We start from the raw sequence: 16,877 nt of genomic DNA, 5'->3' as shown, positions 1-16,877 counted from the left end.
TAGTAGAGACAGGGTTTCGCCATGTTGGCCAGGCCGGTCCCGAACTCCTGACCTCAGGGGATCCGCCCGCCTCGGCCTCCCATAGTGCTGGGATTACAGGCATGCGCCCCTGCGCCCGGCCAGAAACAGAAAAACTCGTAGCTGCAGCACTACTGACCTTTGCCATCCTGTGCACTGAGAATCTTTAGTAGCATCCCTGGCCTTCACCCATGTGTGTACGCAGAACAGTAGCCCCCCAAAGATGTTCGCCCCCAATCCCTGCAACCTGTGAATATTTATGCCACATAGTAGGAGGGAATTAGGCTGTAGATAAAATGGTTGATTAGAGGCAGGGTCTCACTATGTTGCCCAGGCTGATGTCTAGTGGCTATTCACAGGCGTGATCCCACTACTGATCACAGGAGTTTTGACCTGCTCTCTTTCCAAACTGGCCCAGTTCACCCCTCCTGAGGCAACCTGGTGGTCCCCTGCTCCCAGGAGGTCACCAAGTCGATGCCAAACTTAGTGCAGACACCTGACTGACACAGCCCACTATATCCTCAGAACTCCTGGACTGACACAATCCTCCTGCCTCGGCCTCCCGAGTAGCTGAGACTACACGTGCGCACCACCACACCAGGGAATATAAAATTAAGGTTGCTAATTAGCTGGCTTTATTTTATTTTATTTGAAACAGAGTCTTGCTCTGTCACCCAGGCTGGAGTACAGTGGCATGATCTCCGCTCACTACAACCTCTGCCTCCCGGGTTCAAAGCGATTCTCCTGCCTTAGGTTCCCAAGTAGCTGGAATTATAGGCGCCCACCACCATGCCCGGCTAATTTTTGTATTTTTAGTAGAGATGGGGTTTCACCATGTTGGCCAGGCTGGCCTCGAACTCTTGACCTCCAGTGATCTGCCTGCCTCAGCCTCCCAAAGTGCTGAGATTACAGGCCTGAGCCACCACATCAGGCCAGCTGGCTTTAATAGGAGATTAGCGGCTGGGCGTGGTGGCTCACGCCTGTAATCCCAGCACTTTGGGAGGCCAATGCAGGCGGATCACCTGAGGTCAGAAGTTCAAGACCAGCCTGACCAACATGGAGAAACCCCGTCTCCACTAAAAATACAAAATTAGCCGGGCGTGGTGGCGCATGCCTGTAATCCCAGCTACTGAGGAGGCTGAGGCAGGAGAATTGCTCGAACCGGGAGGCGGAGTTTGCAGTGAGCCGAGATTGTGCCATTGCACTCCAGCCTGGACAACAAGAGCGAAACTCCACCTAAAAAAAAAAAAGCTGGGCGGGGTGGCTCACGCCTGTAATCCCAGCACTTTGGGAGGCCGAGGCGGGTGGATCATGAGGGCAGGAGATGGAGACCATCCTGGCTAACACGGTGAAACCCTGTCTCTACTAAAAATACAAAAAGAAATTAGCCGGGTGTTGTGGCGGGTGCCTGTAGTCCCAGCTACTCGGGAGGCTGAGGCAGGAGAATTGCTTGAACCTGGGAAGTGGAGGTTGCAGTGAGCCAAGACTGTGCCACTGCACTTCAGCCTGGGCGACAGAGACTCCATCTCAAAGAAAAAAAAAAGATTGGACCACTGGCCTCCCCCAGAGTCAACTCTGAAAGACAGAAAGCAGCCATGAGCCAAGGAGTTCGGGCAGCCTCTAACAGCTGGAAAAGGCAAGGAAGCAGATTCTCCCCTGGAGCCTCCAAATAGGAATGCAGTGATACTGACACCCTGATTTTAGCTCAGTGTGACCCACGTTAGAGTCTGGACTCCAGAACTAAAGATAATACATTTGTGTGTTTTAAGCCAAGTTTGTGGCCTTTTTTTTTTTTTTTTTTTTTGAGATGGAGTCTCACTCTGTTGCCCATGCTGGAATGCAGTGGCGCAATCTTGGCTCACTGCAAGCTCCACCTCCCGGGTTCACACCATTCTCCTACCTCAGCCTCCGGAGTAGGTGGGACTACAGGCGCCCGCCACCACACCAGGCTAATTTCTTTTTGTATTTTTAGTAGACATGGGGTTTCACCGCGTTAGTCATGATGGTCTTGATCTCCTGACCTCGTGATCCACCTGCCTCAGCCTCACAAAGTGCCAATTTCAAGCTGGGATTACAGGTGTGAGCCACCGCGCCCAGCCAAGATGTTGAACTTCTTACATCCTTACAATAACTTTTCCCAGTTTTCTTTTTTTTTTTTTGAGATGGAGTCTCACTCTGTGGCCCAGGTTGGAGTGCAGGGGCGCAATCTCTGCTCATTGAAACCTCTGCCTCCTGGGATCAAGCGTTTCTCGTGCCTCAGCCTCCCGAGAAGCTGTGACTACAGGCGCATGTCACCACGCCCCGTTAATTTTTGTGTGTTTTGGCCAGGCACAGTGGCTCATGCCTGTAATCCCAGCACTTTGGGAGGCCAAGGCAGGTGGATCAAGAGGTCAGGAGATCGAGACCATCCTGGCGAACATGGTGAAATCCTGTCTCTACTAAAAATAAAAAAAAAAAATTAGCAGGGCGTGGTGGCGGGTGCCTGTAGTCCCAGCTACTCAGGAGGCTGAGGCAGGAGAATGGCGTGAACCCGGGAGGCGGAGCTTGCAGTGAGCCGAGATCACGCCACTGCACTCTAGTCGTGTGTGTTTTTTTTTTTTTTTTTGAGATGGAGTCTCGCTCTGTTGCCAAGGCTGGAGTGCAGTGGCGTGATTGTCGTGATCTCGGCTCACTGCAACCTCTGCCTCACGGTTTCAAGAGATTCTACTGCCTCAGGCTGCCGAGTAGCTGGGACTACAGGCACATGTCACCACGCCCGGCTAATTTTTGTATTTTTAGTAGAGATGGGGTTTCACCATTTTGGTCAGGCTTGTCTCCAATTCCTGACCTCAGGTGATCCCAACCTCCCAAAGTGCTGGGATTACAGGCGTGAGCCACCACGCCCGGCCTAAAAATTTTTTTTGTGGAGATGGAGCCTGACTGTGTAGGCCAGGCTGGTCTCAAATTCCCAGGCTCCAGCAATCCGGGCCACCCAGCCTCCCAAACTGCTGGGATTACAGGCTTGAGCCACTGTGCCTGACAGCTTTTTTCAAGTGGCAAAATTGGGGTTTCAAGCCCATTTGTGTCTGTTTCTAAAGTCCAAGTTCACTGGGCATGGATCACTTGAGCCCAGGAGGTTGAGGCCTCAGTGTGCTGTGATCGTACCACTGTGTTACAGCAAGAGCAAGACCCGGTCTCAAATAAAGTAAGTAAAGTTCAGGCTCATTGATACAATTTACTGCCTCTTTTCCAGTAGGGTTTAGATCTGGACCTGCCTTCTGGATGGCAGAGGGAGGGAGGTCCTGAGTGTGCCTGGCCCTCAAGGGTAGGGAGGAGGCCCTGTTACTGCAGCATCCATCCAAACACGTCCTGTGCTGGGCCCAGCGTAAAGAGGACAGGTTCCGTTCGTGCCTTCCAGAGGCCCCTTCTGGGCAGGCCTGGCGAGACTGCCCTGGGCTGCGAGATGGACGTCACCACGTGCTGCCTTTCACGTTGTCTTTCATGTAGGGATTTAAACAGGGCATTAGGGAAGTGGAGGCGGGACCACGCTTGTGTGTGTTCCAAATACCAGAGACCGGTTTCCTAATAAGGTGGCCAGATTTAGCAAATACAAATACGGCAGGTCCACTTAAATGTCAATTTCAGATAAGGAGCAGCATTTTAGTATGAGCCTAGCCCATCAATATTTGGGCTATACTTACACTAAGACATGACCCCTTGTTCATCTGAGATGCAAACCAGTTGTGCCGTGTTTCATCTGACAACGCCAGTTCGTGGAGCCCGGCGAGTGTTGACGTGACACGCGTGGCCCAGAGGAGCCCGGGGCTGGCCGCGTGGCCGCGCGGACCTTCGAGCGGTCGGCTCATGGTAGAGCGGCCTCTATCAGGGCCACCGCTCTAGCCGGCGCCGCGCTGAGGCGGAAGTCGCGACGCGCACTTGCGCCGGGCGGGCCCGTTGCTGGGTGGGGCGGTGACGTTTGCCCGGAAGGGGCGGGCCCGCCGGGAGCCAGGCCGCTCGGCGCCACGACCGGCCGAGAGGGGGGCCGGATCCCGGACCATGGCGGCGGCCGGGGGGCGCCGAGGGGCGGCGCGCGGACATGGAGGCGGAGGCGGCGGCAGCTCCTGAGCGGGGAGGCGGGAGCTGCGTGCTGTGCTGCGGAGACCTGGAGGCCACGGCGCTGGGGCCGCTGCGACCACCCGGTGTGCTACCGCTGCTCTACCAAGATGCGGGTGCTCTGCGAGCAGCGCTACTGCGCCGTGTGCCGCGAGGAGCTGCGCCAGGTGCGGGGCGCCGGGGGCGCGGCCCGGGGGCAGCGGGGCTCCCGGCGACCGGATGGGGACTTTGCCTCACTGAGGTCCGGCCGTGGGCCCGGCGGCGCCGGCTTCCGAGAGAGGCCTGGTGGGGCCACCCAGGGCGGGGTCCCGGCCGTGCGGCTGACGGCGGGGCGTTGGGGCTTGGAGGCCGGAGGCGGCCGAGCGGGTTGCAGGAGGGGGCAAGCCCTGTGGGGACAGCCTGGGGACTTCCCCCGTGTCCCGGGGGTTCCTGCCGGGCCTCAGGAAGGGTCCTGATCAGATGGAGAACTCGGTGACCTGCTCGTCTTCAGGAGTTTATTTTCCAGGGTCCTCCATTCGAGGAAACAAGGCAAGGGGGACTCTGCGGAGGCCATCCGTCCTGGAAGCAGGGCGTCAAACTCTGGGCATTCTCAGCCCAGCTGTGTTTCTGGGCCCCCATTGGATGACCCTGAGCAAACTCCTTCCGAGACTGACGTTTTCCTCTGTGGAGTGGAGGTGACACTAGCCTCGGAAGGAGACCTGCCCGTCGGAGGGGAAGGCCCCCTCGCGCTTCTTGGCGGGAAGGGAGAAAAGTGTTAGGAAGTTGTCCTCCTCCTCGCCGCCGCCCCCCGCCTTTGGCGCTCATCTCCGCAGTGAATGGGAGACGTTTTTGACTGTACAGACTTGGAAGCCGTGGAGGGGTCAGAGGGTACCATGCAGCGTTCCTCCACCCTCACTGCACTGCCAGCTGCTGGCTGTGGGCACCTGGCTGGAGCCCGTTGGTTTGCTGAGCTTAGAGATTTGTTTGCTTCCAGCATTGTGAAATTCCCCCGGTTTGTTCATAGAAGGCTTCGGCTGGTGACATCTGCCAGGAATCTAACTTTCTTCTCCCCAGAAGTGATGCAGAGCAGTATTGAGGTGTAGGTTCTTTCTTTTTTTCCTTTTCTTTCTTTAAGTAGACGTTTACATCAAAGGAGTTGAAGAGATGCTGCAATTCTCTGAGCAATTTGTGGGCTTATAGTCTGTGCCCTTTTTGGAAAAAGACATTTGGAGATTCTATCAGTCTGTCATGTGACAGGAGGAGGCCGACCCAGACCCCGGGGAGATCTGGGGTGCAGGAACAGTCACAGAGGACCTTGGCCCGTGGCTTCCTCAGGGCGCTTCCTGGCTTTGCCAGGGCCTGCCTTGCCAGCCAGTCCTGCATAGCATGACCTCACTCTCCAACAGCTAGGTTTCCCAGCACACCTGTAGCTTCCTTCCGGAAAGAAGACGCTAAGGAGTTCTTGGCACGTGAGGTCCCGACCCAGGCTGCAGGTCTGATGCAAGACATGAGTGAACATCTGCGTATGCTTACTGTGGCAGCCTCTGCCCGCTCTCATTCCTTGTAGGCCCCACGCCCTCCAGGAGCTCTGTGGCTGGGGGCTGCGGACATGAGCTGTCAGCCGGGGTGTGGTTTGGCACTGGGTGCCCCCAGCCGGCTTCCTCTAGGGCCTACCCCGCCTTACTGGGCTGAAGGAGGGGCTCCTGGAAAGTTTGCTGTTTGCTGGTCTCCTCTCCTTTGCATTCGTTCTATTTTCTTCCCATCTTGAGCTTGCCGCCTCACTCTAGTCTCCTTTTTCCTTACTGAGTTCAGCACCATCCCCTGAATATATTCTGTGTCCCATGCGTGCTCAGGAATTCCCACTGCAACCCTCAACTCCTGAACCCTGGCGTTGCCTTGGCCTCCCTTATGGGACTAAGGTTTTGCGAAAATTGTGAGGAAAGTGTCCAGGATGCCGTGTGGAATCGGCTGGCTCCATGTGCTTGTTAGTTCCACACACCTGGACCCAGGCCTTCCCTGTGGAGGCTGCAGCTGCTGCTCAGGCCAGGAGCCAGATGGGCCTGACCCCTGGCAGGTGCTCAGGGTGGAAGCCGAGGCAGGCTCCCCTCCGTGGGAGGTGGGGGCGCTGGTCTTGGCCATGGCTGACAGAGGTCCTGGGGTGGTGGAGCCCCACGTTCTGGGCCTCTTTCCTGGCTGCGTCTTTCTCAAGGGCCGGTTCCTGCTGTTTGCATCTTGCTCTCCAGCTTGCTCTGGTCCCTGGTGTTACTGCAGGAGTCCTGATGAGGCTGCAAGCCCCCCAGGGCAGCCCACCTGCACCTTACAGGCAGGCAGTGGGAGGGGGCGCAGAGGGCCAGCCCACAGTTACCCAAGGTCCCAGGTCAGGAGGGTGACATGCTGGCTTGGGTCATGCTTTCCTACTCCTACTGCTCCCCCTCCGCCCTGCTCCCGTCCCCCGTGGCCCTGGCCCTATCTGTAAAATGCTCCCTGCTTCTGCTGTCCCCCCACCCCGCTCCCGTCCCCCATGGCCCTGGCCCTCTGTAAGATGCTCCCTGCTGCTGCTGTCCCCATCTGGGCTCCTTGGAGGTCTAGACTCTCTAGATGGCCCTGGGAGCCAACCCCAGGGTCCCCCTCCCCACGTGTGGGCAGGCCCTCACCGCTGTCCTTTTGTGTGCCCATGACATGCTGGGGAGTGTAGAGCAGCAAGGCCCCAGGCAGACACCACACCTGTCCCTGTGGGGGGTCTTGGGGGCCTCCTGTTCCTAAGCAGGCCTCACCCCATTTGCCTCTTGCTCTCCTTGGGGCCTAGCTTGGCCGTCTCCAGGGCTCACGTAGAGTGCCCTTCCCCTCATCATTTGCTGCATAGCCCATCCCCAAGCCTCTCCCCATGGGTTCTGTACTTCTGTCCTCAGACACGTGACCCTCTCCTGCTGGGGCGACCTAGACCTGTTGTCTCCCTCTGTAGCCCCAGCCATCTCCCCCCTGCCCCCACGTCCCAACCCAGCCATTTCCCTCCAGCCACCAAGTCCCACCCCAGGCATCTCCCCCAGGCCCCCAAGTCCCCTACCCATAGCCATCTTCCCCTGGCCTCCATGTCCCCTACGTCCCCTACTCCCAGCCTGGCTGTGCTGGAACCATCAGGCGGGGGAGGGTCTTGCTGTTTGGCTCCTTAGTGGACCGTGCCTGACTCCACCCTGGCCACTGTGCTGCGGGGCGCAGCCTTGTCCAGCCCCCTCCTCACCCTCAGGGAGGGCGATGCTGGCCATGCCAGGCTGCACTGCTGTCCCACTGCCCGCTCCTGAGGTCTGGGCAGCCAGTCCTGGTCTCCCTGCCTGTCTGAGGATGGGCAGCCTCAGGCCCCCACTATCAGGTGGTATTTCTCACTCCGGCCCCAAACCTGCACGCCCTCCTGCTCCAGTGATTGTGGCCTTGGGCCCACCTTGCTCACAGCCATTGTTCTTTCACAAGCCTCTTCCTGTTCCTGAGCCCACCCAGTGTCTCCTTTCCCCTGTCTCGTTGCTCCGCTTAGGTGCCCTGCCTAGGTGACCCCTCCCAGCTGTTCAGGAGGGACGAATACTCTGGGTCTTGCTACCCCTGGTGCTCGGAGTACCTGCCTTAGCTGCTGTGCAGATGGATGCCCATCTAGACTCCATATGGGGCATGTAGCCCTCCCGTGCTGGCCCACCCTGGGTCCTTCATCTGGGTGCTGTCAGTGCACCTGGGATCCGCCCGGCCTGGCCCTGCCTCTGCCCAGCTCCCCGCAGCTCCTCCACCCCCAGCTGCTCCCTGGCCTCAGAGAGGCTGCCTTGACCGAGTCCGCCAGCCCCACCAGTGCCGTCCCACATAGGTTTCTTGGGACTTGCGATGTGCTAGCATCGCATGGAGCATGGGTGCCCCCAGGCGGCAAGGACAGAGGAGTGTATGTGCTCCTCAGCGGGGCCTGGCCCTGTGCCCGCACACGGGTGGCACTCGGGGGACGCACCAGTGGAGGTTGGCTGCGTGTTAGGGGTGCCTGGGATGCCCCTGTGCCCGCAGTCTGAGTCGCCGCCACCCACGGTGGATGAGGGCGTGCGGCTGAAAGGAGGGGTGCCAAAGTGGGGAGGTGGGGCTGGGGACGCCCCTGGCACGGGTTTCCTCTGGGGAAGGAAGTCGTTTCTCCTCGGAGTCTGATGGGCTTGGATGCTTTTTGGCAGCCTTGGGGCCTCCCTCACAGGCTGCTCGCCTGGCCACCTCACAGGCAGACACTGGCTTCCTCGCCCGCCTGCCTGCTGCTTCGGGAGCTGTGGTGGGGAAGTGGCCCTGTCTGGTTCCCGGGAGTCCAGGTACTCAGCTCCCCGAGGAGGCTCGCGCTCTGCGTCCCAGCAGCACCCTGAGTGGCTCCGCTCAGCTCCCCGAGGAGGCTCGTGCTCTGGGTCCCAGCAGCACCCTGAGTGGCTGCACAGATTGCGCCTGTGAGGGTCGGGCTGGAGAGGCGCCCTTGGGAGTGAGTGGAAGGTAGGGCTGGGTGCCAGCTGCCGCGAGGGCAGCTGCTGTGAAAAGAGGCCGCACAAGGCCCAGGGCCTTTCCCTGTGTTTGGGGTGTGCAGAGAGGCTGCTCCAGGGGAGGGGAGCCAGGGGACAGGTCAGGGTGGTGTGGCCCGCAGTGACTGGCAGCCTTTGTAATGGGGCTCTGGGTGGGGCTGCGACTCCCATCTGAAGACGTCGCGCGTGGGAGGCAGCTGTGATGAAGTGCCCATCTGAGCCCAGCATGTGACGGGGACGCAGAGGCGGCCGAGTTCATCCTGCCCAGCCTTGCCTGATGTGACCAGGGGAGGAAAGGCCTGGGCTGCTGCTCCTGCAGCCCGTACCGCCCACCCCGCCCCTGGTGGAAGCGGCTCCTGTCGGTGGGGTGGGGGCTGAGCTCTCCTGGCGCTCCTGACCCTCCTGGGGAGTCAGATTTAACCACCTGCTCTGGGGGACAGAGACACCCCAGGACCCCCTGAGCACGTGTGGGACTGGCTCTTCCTGCCAAGCCTCAGGTTTCCCAGCTTCACGGCCGTTCCAGCCCGACATTCTCTTTGGCTAAGGGGCTAAGGTAAACTTAACATGACCTTGGCATGACCCTTGCCCGGGTGAGGACGTCCCCCTGCCCTGGATGTGCGCTTGAGGCCTTGAGCTGCTCTAAGGGCCCAGAGCCGAGGCGAGTGACCAGTGCCAGGCTTGGGACAGTGATGGAGCCAGAAGGGGGCTTGACCAACCCAAGGGGTGGGTGGCACCAATCTCTGCTGGCATGGGGGCAGCGAGGGTCCTCCCCAGCAGAGCTTCGTGGAGAGCAGGGGTGCTGAGCTGAGCAGGGATGCCGGGGCCGTCTGTGGAGGGCACAGGGCAGACGGGCAAGTCCTCTGGCAGCCAGCTTTGCAGGTGCCAGAGACCCCTGGGAAGGGGCCCACGCAGAGGCTCTGCAGCGCCTGCTGAGGATGCACGGAGCTGAGGTGGTCGGCTTGAGCCTCGTGCCGTGAAGGCGCCATGGAAACGTGGGGGCGGGGGCGCCGGACAGGGTAGCCGGGCCTTGTCACCTGATGCATCCCCGGCTGGCGGCCATTGGTATTCCCTTAGCAGCTGCTTGGAACACGTTTCTTCTCTGTCCTGGAAAGCTCCGCAGAGCGACAGCTGCTCTGTTCCCCGCAGGGTGGAGCCACCGGGTGAGGGCCCCGGCCGGTGGGGCGTGGCTGCTTAGGGACTGGCCTTGCCGCCCCCTGGTGGAGAGGCCTGGCGTTGTGTCTCTGTCCTCTGCCCCTGACCCTAGGCAAGCGGGTTGGGGTGAGGAGGGGAGGCCTAGGCCAGGGTGCCAGGGGCCGCTGCCTGCTGGGGCCTCCTAGGAGGACCCTTTATGCCTCACTCCTTCTTAGAGGGTCTGTGAGGGCTCCCTTGCCTCTGAGCCTCCGTTGCATCCCAGGTGGGGGTCCCATCCCAGTCCTGCTCACCACCCCTCTGGTTTTTGGCTCTAGGTGGTCTTTGGGAAGAAGCTTCCTGCCTTTGCCACCATCCCCATCCACCAGCTGCAGCATGAGAAGAAATATGATATCTACTTTGCAGATGGAAAGGTGTACGCATTGTACAGGTGAGCAGGGCCTCTCCCTGGGTCCTGGCCTCCCTGTGGTTGTGGCCCTTCACGTCCCACTCTCCTCACAACCGGAGGCACTTCGGGGGCCACCTGGTGCACCAATGCTGGGGCCAGGCACCTGGGTTTCCATCCTGTGACTGGGGAGGCTTACCAGGCCCTCCTGGGGGTAGAGCTGGTGGTTGTGCTGGGGAAAGGCATGCCCAGGTGGTGCAGCACCTGCCTCGGGGGCACCTTGAGGGGCACACGAGGTGTGTGAGCCAGGCCCGTGGCCTGAAAATCCTATAAAGGGTACAGCTGTCCCAGGGCTGGTCTCTCAGAGGAGGGGCAGCTCATGGGCTCAGGGCTAGAGCCAGGCTTCTGACCCAGGCCATGTGCACAGCCATGGCCTTGCATCTGTCCTGGGTCACGGGCCTGGGGCCTGGTGAGTGGCCCTGCTCCCGGCGGTGACACTGAATGTCCTGGGGCCGTGGGCGGCTCTCGGTGTCTTCCTAGGCAGCTGCTGCAGCACGAGTGCCCGCGGTGCCCCGAGCTGCCACCTTTCAGCCTCTTCGGGGACCTGGAGCAGCACATGCGGAGGCAGCATGAGCTCTTCTGCTGCCGTCTGTGCCTCCAGCACCTCCAGGTGTGCCCCCCCAGCGACCCCGGAGAGAGCCTAGGCGGTGGGTGGTGCAAGGGATGTGGCCACACGGCTGGGAGGGGCTTGTCCACCTGCTGCTTCTGGCCCCGGATGGCCCCCTGAGGGTCAGGCTGCACGTGGCAGGGAGGCCTCTGGCTGCTGGCGGGGCCCTCTCCCGCCCCTTGCTGCTCCGCCACTGGCCTGTGGGAAGAGGCAGGAGGCTTGGGGTCCCCCAGCCTGTGCCCAGCCTCCTGTGCCTTGTAGATCTTCACATATGAGCGCAAGTGGTACTCGCGCAAGGACCTGGCCCGGCATCGCATGCAGGGTGACCCCGATGACACGTCGCACCGTGGGCACCCGCTCTGCAAGTTCTGTGACGAGCGCTACCTGGACAATGATGAGCTGCTTAAGCACCTGCGCCGCGACCACTACTTCTGCCACTTCTGCGACTCGGACGGGGCCCAGGACTACTACAGGTGGGCCGGGCAGCAGACAGACAGATGACCCTCCCTCCCCGAGGGCGTGGGGCTAACCGGGCTGCAGCCCTCCTACCGACACCCCATCTCCTGCCAGCGACTATGCCTACCTGCGTGAGCACTTCCGGGAGAAGCACTTTCTGTGTGAGGAAGGCCGCTGCAGCACGGAGCAGTTCACCCACGCCTTCCGCACCGAGATCGACCTCAAGGCCCACAGGACGGCCTGCCACAGTCGCAGCCGCGCCGAGGCACGCCAGAACCGCCACATCGACCTGCAGTTCAGCTACGCGCCACGGCACTCGCGCCGGAACGAGGGTGAGCAGGCACCTGGCCTGGATGCCCCCAGGTGGGGCCGCATGACCATGCCCTGCTCTGGAGCCTGAGATGAGACCGAGCTGTGGGTGCAGGAGCTGACCTCCCACCCTCCGGCCAGGCTGGAGCGCCCGAGCACCCCTTGTGTGCCAGGAGCTCTTGCTCCCTCAGGGTCTCGGGTCTGCTGCCCTGGGTGCCCGGGGCCCTTCCCTGGACCAGGAGGCTTTTACTGAGCATCTGCTGTATGCAGATCCCACCTGGGGCTCGGGGACCCTCCTCCTCTCCCTTCCCACTGCTCCTGTGGCTTGGCACCCAGGTCGTAGAGGCCCGTGGCTGGCGTGGACCCTGCGAGGCTCCTGTGCCACTCCCGGGCTCATGTGCACTGTGGGTAGGAAAGCCTCTGCCATCCAGGCCTGAGCATTGGCCGGGTGTGGCCTTGACGGCAGGCCTGTTCCTCCTATTGTCGTCCCGGGGTCCCGGGAAGTGACGGGCTGTCTGCTGGCCGCAGGGGTCGTTGGTGGCGAAGACTACGAGGAGGTGGACAGGTACAGCCGCCAGGGCCGAGTGGCCCGGGCTGGCACTCGCGGAGCCCAGCAGAGCCGCCGAGGAAGCTGGAGGTACAAAAGGTGGGGGACCTTGCGTGCCGCTGACATTCTCCTGTGGTGACCGTGGCCAGTGGCCAAGCTGGGAGTGGGGATGGGGTCAGGGATTGTGGCCAGAGTTCCTGGGGTCCTGAGTGGCAGTAGGGTCTGTTGAGGGTCCTTGGTGGGCACAAGTTTCTCTCTCTTTTCTCCAGTTCTAGCCACAGCCACAGATCCCAGGGTTGGGGTGGGTGAAAGGGGCCTGTGTCAATTGGGCGGTCACCGCAGCTGTACGAGGAAGCACCGCCCCGGCAGCCCTGCAGGGCAGAGGCATCAGACCCCAGATGATCGCCCCACACACTGGGCCCAGGCACTGCCCGCCTGAGGCATTGGTCTCGGGCCATGCTCAGCCTGAAGGCTGGCCTCCTTGTCCCAGGGAAGAAGAGGACCGAGAAGTAGCAGCTGCTGTCCGGGCCTCCGTGGCCGCACAGCAGCAGGAGGAGGCTCGCAGGAGTGAGGATCAGGAGGAAGGCGGTAGGCCCAAGAAGGAGGAGGCAGCGGCGCGGGGACCTGAGGATCCCCGTGGCCCCCGGCGCTCACCCCGGACTCAGGGCGAAGGCCCAGGTGAGTAAGCCCTACCTGGTGGCAGCTCTGCCCGGGCTAGGAGGTCAGTGGCTAGCTCTTTTTTTTTGTTTGTTTGTTTGTTTGTTTGTTTTTTGTGAGACAGACAGAGTCTCACTCTGTTGCCCAGGCTGGTGCAGTGGCGGAATCTTGGCTCAGTGCAACTTCTGCCTCCCGGGTTCAAGTGATTCTCCTGCCTCAGCCTCCCGAGTAGCTGGGATGACAGGTGCCTGCCCCCACGCCTGGCTTGTTTTTCTATTTTTAGTAGAGATGGGGTTTCACCATGTTGGCCAGGCTGGTCTCAAACTCCTGACCTCAGGTGATCCGCCCACCTCAGCCTCCCAGAGTGCTGGGATTATAGGTGTAAGCCACGATGTCCAGCTTAGTGGCCAGCTCTTGATGGGCACGGTGCCTGGGACGCTCCAGGCCTTCACCTGGGAGGTTGAAGAGCACCCTGCACTGCCAGTCCCCAGAGGGCCTGTCCCCACACCCTGACCTGACCTGGGGGCCTTGTGTTCTTCATAGGCCCCAAGGAAACCTCGACAAATGGTCCTGTAAGCCAAGAAGCCTTCTCGGTGACAGGCCCAGCCGCCCCAGGGTGTGTGGGGGTGCCAGGGTGAGAGTATGGGCGCCCAGGGGTGAATGGTGCATGGTGGGCGGGTGCGGGCAGCCACAGGTGGGTGCCGGGAGGGCAGGTATGGAGCCACGGGGCCTGATAGCTGTTGACCAGCTGTGCTTCCCTGCACCCAGCGCCCTCCCACCACCCAGCCCGAAGCTCAAGGACGAAGACTTCCCCAGCCTCTCTGCCTCCACTTCCTCCTCCTGCTCCACTGCAGCAACCCCGGGCCCTGTGGGGTTGGCGCTGCCGTACGCCATCCCTGCCAGAGGCAGGAGTGCCTTCCAGGAGGAGGACTTCCCCGCCCTGGTGTCCTCGGTGCCCAAGCCTGGCACCGCCCCCACCAGCCTTGTCTCTGCCTGGAACAGCAGCAGTAGCAGCAAGAAGGTAGCACAGCCCCCACTCTCGGCGCAGGCTACCGGCAGCGGCCAGCCCACCAGGAAGGCTGGGAAGGGGAGCAGGGGCGGCAGGAAGGGCGGCCCGCCCTTCACACAGGAGGAGGAGGAGGACGGCGGCCCGGCCCTGCAGGAGCTTCTGAGCACACGCCCCACGGGCTCCGTCTCCTCCACACTGGGGCTGGCCTCCATCCAACCCTCTAAAGTTGGGAAGAAGAAGAAAGTGGGCTCGGAGAAGCCAGGCACCACATTGCCACAGCCCCCGCCCGCTACCTGTCCCCCAGGGGCTTTGCAGGCCCCGGAAGCTCCTGCCAGCAGAGCCGAGGGGCCAGTTGCCGTCGTCGTTAATGGACACATGGAGGGCCCGGCCCCTGCTCGGAGTGCCCCCAAGGAACCCCCTGGGCTCCCAAGGCCCCTGGGGTCCTTCCCCTGCCCCACGCCACAGGAGGACTTCCCAGCGCTCGGCGGCCCCTGCCCACCCCGGATGCCGCCGCCCCCAGGTACGCGTGCTGGCTCAGGCCTGCTCCCTGGGTGTCGGGAGGGGCCGGGGTCAGGCTGGAGCCGCAGGCACAGTCTGCATCTGGGTGGTGGGGACCCCTGTGTGATGCCATCGGCCACCCACATGACCTCCAGCCTCCCGTTAACCACCCTGTGTTCCTTGCCTCTGTGAGACCGGCCCTCATGGCGCCTCCCAGGTCTGAGGGTGCGTGAGCTTGTGTGGGCTGGGCCTGCCACACCAGCAGCAGTGGTGTGGGTGCTGGCCCTGCACCTGCCCTGCAGGGAAGGGGTGGCTGTAGACAGAAGCTGGCCCTGGAGGCCAGGCAGCCCGCAGTCAGCGAGGGTCCTCTCTGGGTCTTGTCCTGCCACCCCTCAGGCTTCAGCGCTGTGGTGCTCCTGAAGGGCACGCCTCCCCCACCCCCGCCGGGCCTGGTGCCCCCAATCAGCAAGCCGCCCCCTGGCTTCTCTGGCCTTCTGCCTAGCCCCCACCCGGCCTGTGTCCCCAGCCCCGCCACCACCACCACCACAAAAGCGTAAGTGTGGGTGAGCTGCCTGGTGTCCACCGGGGGTGGAGGAACGGTACCCTCCCCTTGGGCCACTGTGAAGGCTGAAGCCTCCACCTCCTCTTTACCTTCTGACCCCCAGACCCAGGCTGCTGCCTGCCCCACGGGCGTACCTAGTCCCCGAGAACTTCCGGGAGAGGAACCTTCAGCTCATCCAGTCCATCAGGGACTTCCTGCAGAGCGACGAGGCCCGCTTCAGCGAGTTCAAGAGCCACTCAGGGGAGTTCAGACAGGTCAGGCGGGCCCGGGGAGTCCAGATGGGTCAGGCGGGCCCGGGGCGGGGTGCCAGCCCGTCTTCATCCAGGGCCCGGGCCAGAGGGGATGACTGAGTCCGGCTCTCCGGTGGCAGGGCCTGATCTCCGCAGCCCAGTATTACAAGAGTTGCCGGGACCTGCTGGGGGAGAATTTCCAGAAGGTCTTTAATGAGCTGCTGGTCCTGCTGCCCGACACGGCCAAGCAGCAGGAGCTCCTGTCTGCACACACGGACTTCTGCAACCGCGAGAAGCCTCTGAGCACCAAGTCCAAGAAGAACAAGAAGAGCGCGTGGCAGGCCACCACCCAGCAGGCGGGCCTGGACTGCCGTGTGTGCCCCACCTGCCAGCAGGTGCTCGCGCATGGCGATGCCAGCAGCCACCAGGCGCTGCATGCTGCCCGGGACGACGACTTCCCCTCCCTGCAAGCCATCGCCAGGATCATCACGTAGCTCCCGCCAGCGTGGCCAGAGCTGTCGCACCGTGAGCGTCCTTCCTCCTTCCTCTCCGGGCTGCCAGGCAGCCAGGTAAGGCCTGGTGAGGCCACTTGGCCTCTTGGTTGGCCAGGCCCACCAGGAAGTCACCAGGACAGTCCACCCGCCCTGTTGGCACACTCAAGCGGGAGTCCACCCCTGCCTCAGTGGTGGGCCAGTCTCGGTTTGCATTCTTGTGCTTTTGGGAGGTGCCAGGGGAGGGAAGGGCTGGGATGCTGGGACCTGTTGTTGCTGGCAAAGCCAGAGGTCACAGTGGCCTGATCTGGGCCCTCCCAAAGCTGAGGGCTGCAGCCCGTGGGGCCTCAGAGCTGAAAGCTGCGGCGCCACTGGTGCCAGAGTCAGATGTCACAGATGTGTTGTGTAAACAGTTGGCTGTTTCATGCTTCAAGAATGTTCAGGATTAAAAGCAGACAAGAAATTGTGCTACTTGAAGTTGAATCTTTTTATGAGACAAGCTGAATCTGGGATCTCAAATTGCCTCTGACCTTTTATAAGACAGTTTATCTTCAAATAAATTTATTTTGCAATACCACGCATAGCTGGTGTTCTGAGCTTCTCTGTCTTCTGAGTATACCCTGAAGCCAAATTTAGAAACAGGGTGGAGGGGACATCTGAAATACTGCAGCGAAATAATTTGAGCGTAATTATCTGGATCTGGTGTTTTTGGAGGGAGACCAGACACATACGGTAATCACTTTCTGCTTCCAGCACATAGAAGTAGGAAAAATGCTCTAAACACAGCCACATTCAAATAAGGCCAAGAATATGTCCTCAGATCAGAGAAAGTGGGGAAATTTCTCTAAAGCAAGCAGAAAGGGGCTCCCATGGTGATGAAGAGCCAAGGTCAGTGGCTGCAGAGGGGCTGGGTCAGCCATGTGGCGGCATTGGCACTGCCCCCCTGTAGCTGAGGACTTGGACACTGGGACTCAACTGTGTCCCCTGGGTGATGGCCATGCTGGGGCTGGCTAGGAGATGAGAGGCTGGGTAGGGGCCACCTGCATTCCCCCCACACCAGAGGCGCCTCACAGCTGATGCCCACTTGGCAGGGGATGGTAGGTTCCTAAGCAAGACCAGCTCCACAGAAGAGTAGAGCAGTCTGAGAAATGGGCTGTTTCCTTAAGGTTATTGGAAAGAACTTCTCTTTCCGGGTCTGGCCCTGTCACCCAGGCTGGAGTGCAGTGGTGTGATCTCAGCTCAGTGCAGTCTTGACCTCCTGAGGCTCAGGTGACCCACCTCAGCCTCCTGAGTAGTTGGAACTACAAGTGT

General features: G+C 61.1%; 1 protein-coding gene, 1 long non-coding RNA gene and 1 pseudogene across 4 annotated transcripts, besides 10 other annotated features; 1 reads left to right on the top strand and 2 right to left on the bottom strand.

Annotated features, from left to right (window-relative positions):
- RN7SL219P (RNA, 7SL, cytoplasmic 219, pseudogene) lies at window positions 325-620 on the bottom strand (annotated as a pseudogene).
- Window positions 1,576-1,771: a silencer, noted in NCBI's record as "fragment chr16:2062031-2062226 (GRCh37/hg19 assembly coordinates)". NCBI's record gives its function as "represses an EF-1alpha promoter that drives an FKBP-Casp9 reporter gene in an ReSE screen in phorbol 12-myristate 13-acetate-treated (for megakaryocytic differentiation) K562 erythroleukemia cells {active_cell/tissue: K562(+PMA)}" and the evidence as "EXISTENCE:reporter gene assay evidence [ECO:0000049][PMID:32094911]".
- Window positions 3,213-3,916, bottom strand: LOC124903626 (uncharacterized). The gene is made up of 2 exons (XR_007064941.1): window positions 3,699-3,916; window positions 3,213-3,493 (listed from the first exon to the last, which is right to left on the bottom strand). It is a non-coding gene; the product is annotated as an uncharacterized LOC124903626 (long non-coding RNA).
- Window positions 3,306-4,254: an enhancer, noted in NCBI's record as "H3K27ac-H3K4me1 hESC enhancer chr16:2059548-2060496 (GRCh37/hg19 assembly coordinates)". NCBI's record gives its function as "activates a minimal SCP1, AML or CMV promoter by ChIP-STARR-seq in naive H9 embryonic stem cells {active_cell/tissue: H9 hESC(naive)}" and the evidence as "EXISTENCE:reporter gene assay evidence [ECO:0000049][PMID:30033119]".
- Window positions 3,306-4,601: a biological region, named in NCBI's record as "H3K27ac-H3K4me1 hESC enhancer GRCh37_chr16:2059548-2060496".
- Window positions 3,622-3,781: an enhancer, noted in NCBI's record as "active region_10251". NCBI's record gives its function as "activates an Ori minimal core promoter by ATAC-STARR-seq in GM12878 lymphoblastoid cells {active_cell/tissue: GM12878}" and the evidence as "EXISTENCE:reporter gene assay evidence [ECO:0000049][PMID:35858748]".
- Window positions 3,862-4,081: a silencer, noted in NCBI's record as "silent region_7022". NCBI's record gives its function as "represses an Ori minimal core promoter by ATAC-STARR-seq in GM12878 lymphoblastoid cells {active_cell/tissue: GM12878}" and the evidence as "EXISTENCE:reporter gene assay evidence [ECO:0000049][PMID:35858748]".
- On the top strand, window positions 3,980-16,147 carry ZNF598 (zinc finger protein 598, E3 ubiquitin ligase). Of its 3 annotated transcripts, none has more exon segments than NM_001405665.1 (14): window positions 3,980-4,063; window positions 4,065-4,176; window positions 4,178-4,277; window positions 10,073-10,185; window positions 10,681-10,810; window positions 11,069-11,280; window positions 11,378-11,595; window positions 12,101-12,218; window positions 12,610-12,797; window positions 13,320-13,392; window positions 13,545-14,305; window positions 14,680-14,836; window positions 14,949-15,099; window positions 15,216-16,147. In NM_001405665.1, coding segments are annotated over 14 exon segments (2,697 nt in total). In that variant the 5' UTR covers window positions 3,980-4,053; the 3' UTR covers window positions 15,570-16,147.
- Window positions 4,172-4,601: a silencer, noted in NCBI's record as "silent region_7021". NCBI's record gives its function as "represses an Ori minimal core promoter by ATAC-STARR-seq in GM12878 lymphoblastoid cells {active_cell/tissue: GM12878}" and the evidence as "EXISTENCE:reporter gene assay evidence [ECO:0000049][PMID:35858748]".
- Window positions 4,612-4,681: a silencer, noted in NCBI's record as "silent region_7020". NCBI's record gives its function as "represses an Ori minimal core promoter by ATAC-STARR-seq in GM12878 lymphoblastoid cells {active_cell/tissue: GM12878}" and the evidence as "EXISTENCE:reporter gene assay evidence [ECO:0000049][PMID:35858748]".
- Window positions 6,154-7,101: an enhancer, noted in NCBI's record as "H3K27ac-H3K4me1 hESC enhancer chr16:2056701-2057648 (GRCh37/hg19 assembly coordinates)". NCBI's record gives its function as "activates a minimal SCP1, AML or CMV promoter by ChIP-STARR-seq in naive H9 embryonic stem cells {active_cell/tissue: H9 hESC(naive)}" and the evidence as "EXISTENCE:reporter gene assay evidence [ECO:0000049][PMID:30033119]".
- Window positions 7,899-8,193: a silencer, noted in NCBI's record as "tiled region #7653; HepG2 Repressive non-DNase unmatched - State 18:Pol2, and K562 Repressive non-DNase unmatched - State 14:Gen5'". NCBI's record gives its function as "represses a minimal TATA promoter and a strong SV40 promoter by Sharpr-MPRA in HepG2 and K562 cells {active_cell/tissue: HepG2 | K562}" and the evidence as "EXISTENCE:reporter gene assay evidence [ECO:0000049][PMID:27701403]".
- Window positions 9,691-9,760: a silencer, noted in NCBI's record as "silent region_7019". NCBI's record gives its function as "represses an Ori minimal core promoter by ATAC-STARR-seq in GM12878 lymphoblastoid cells {active_cell/tissue: GM12878}" and the evidence as "EXISTENCE:reporter gene assay evidence [ECO:0000049][PMID:35858748]".

This window comes from Homo sapiens, chromosome 16 (genome assembly GCF_000001405.40).
Source record: "Homo sapiens chromosome 16, GRCh38.p14 Primary Assembly".
NCBI classification, from domain to species: domain Eukaryota; kingdom Metazoa; phylum Chordata; class Mammalia; order Primates; family Hominidae; genus Homo; species Homo sapiens.
The sequence above is the reverse complement of the archived record's forward strand: the minus strand, read 5'-3'. Positions and strand labels throughout refer to the sequence as shown.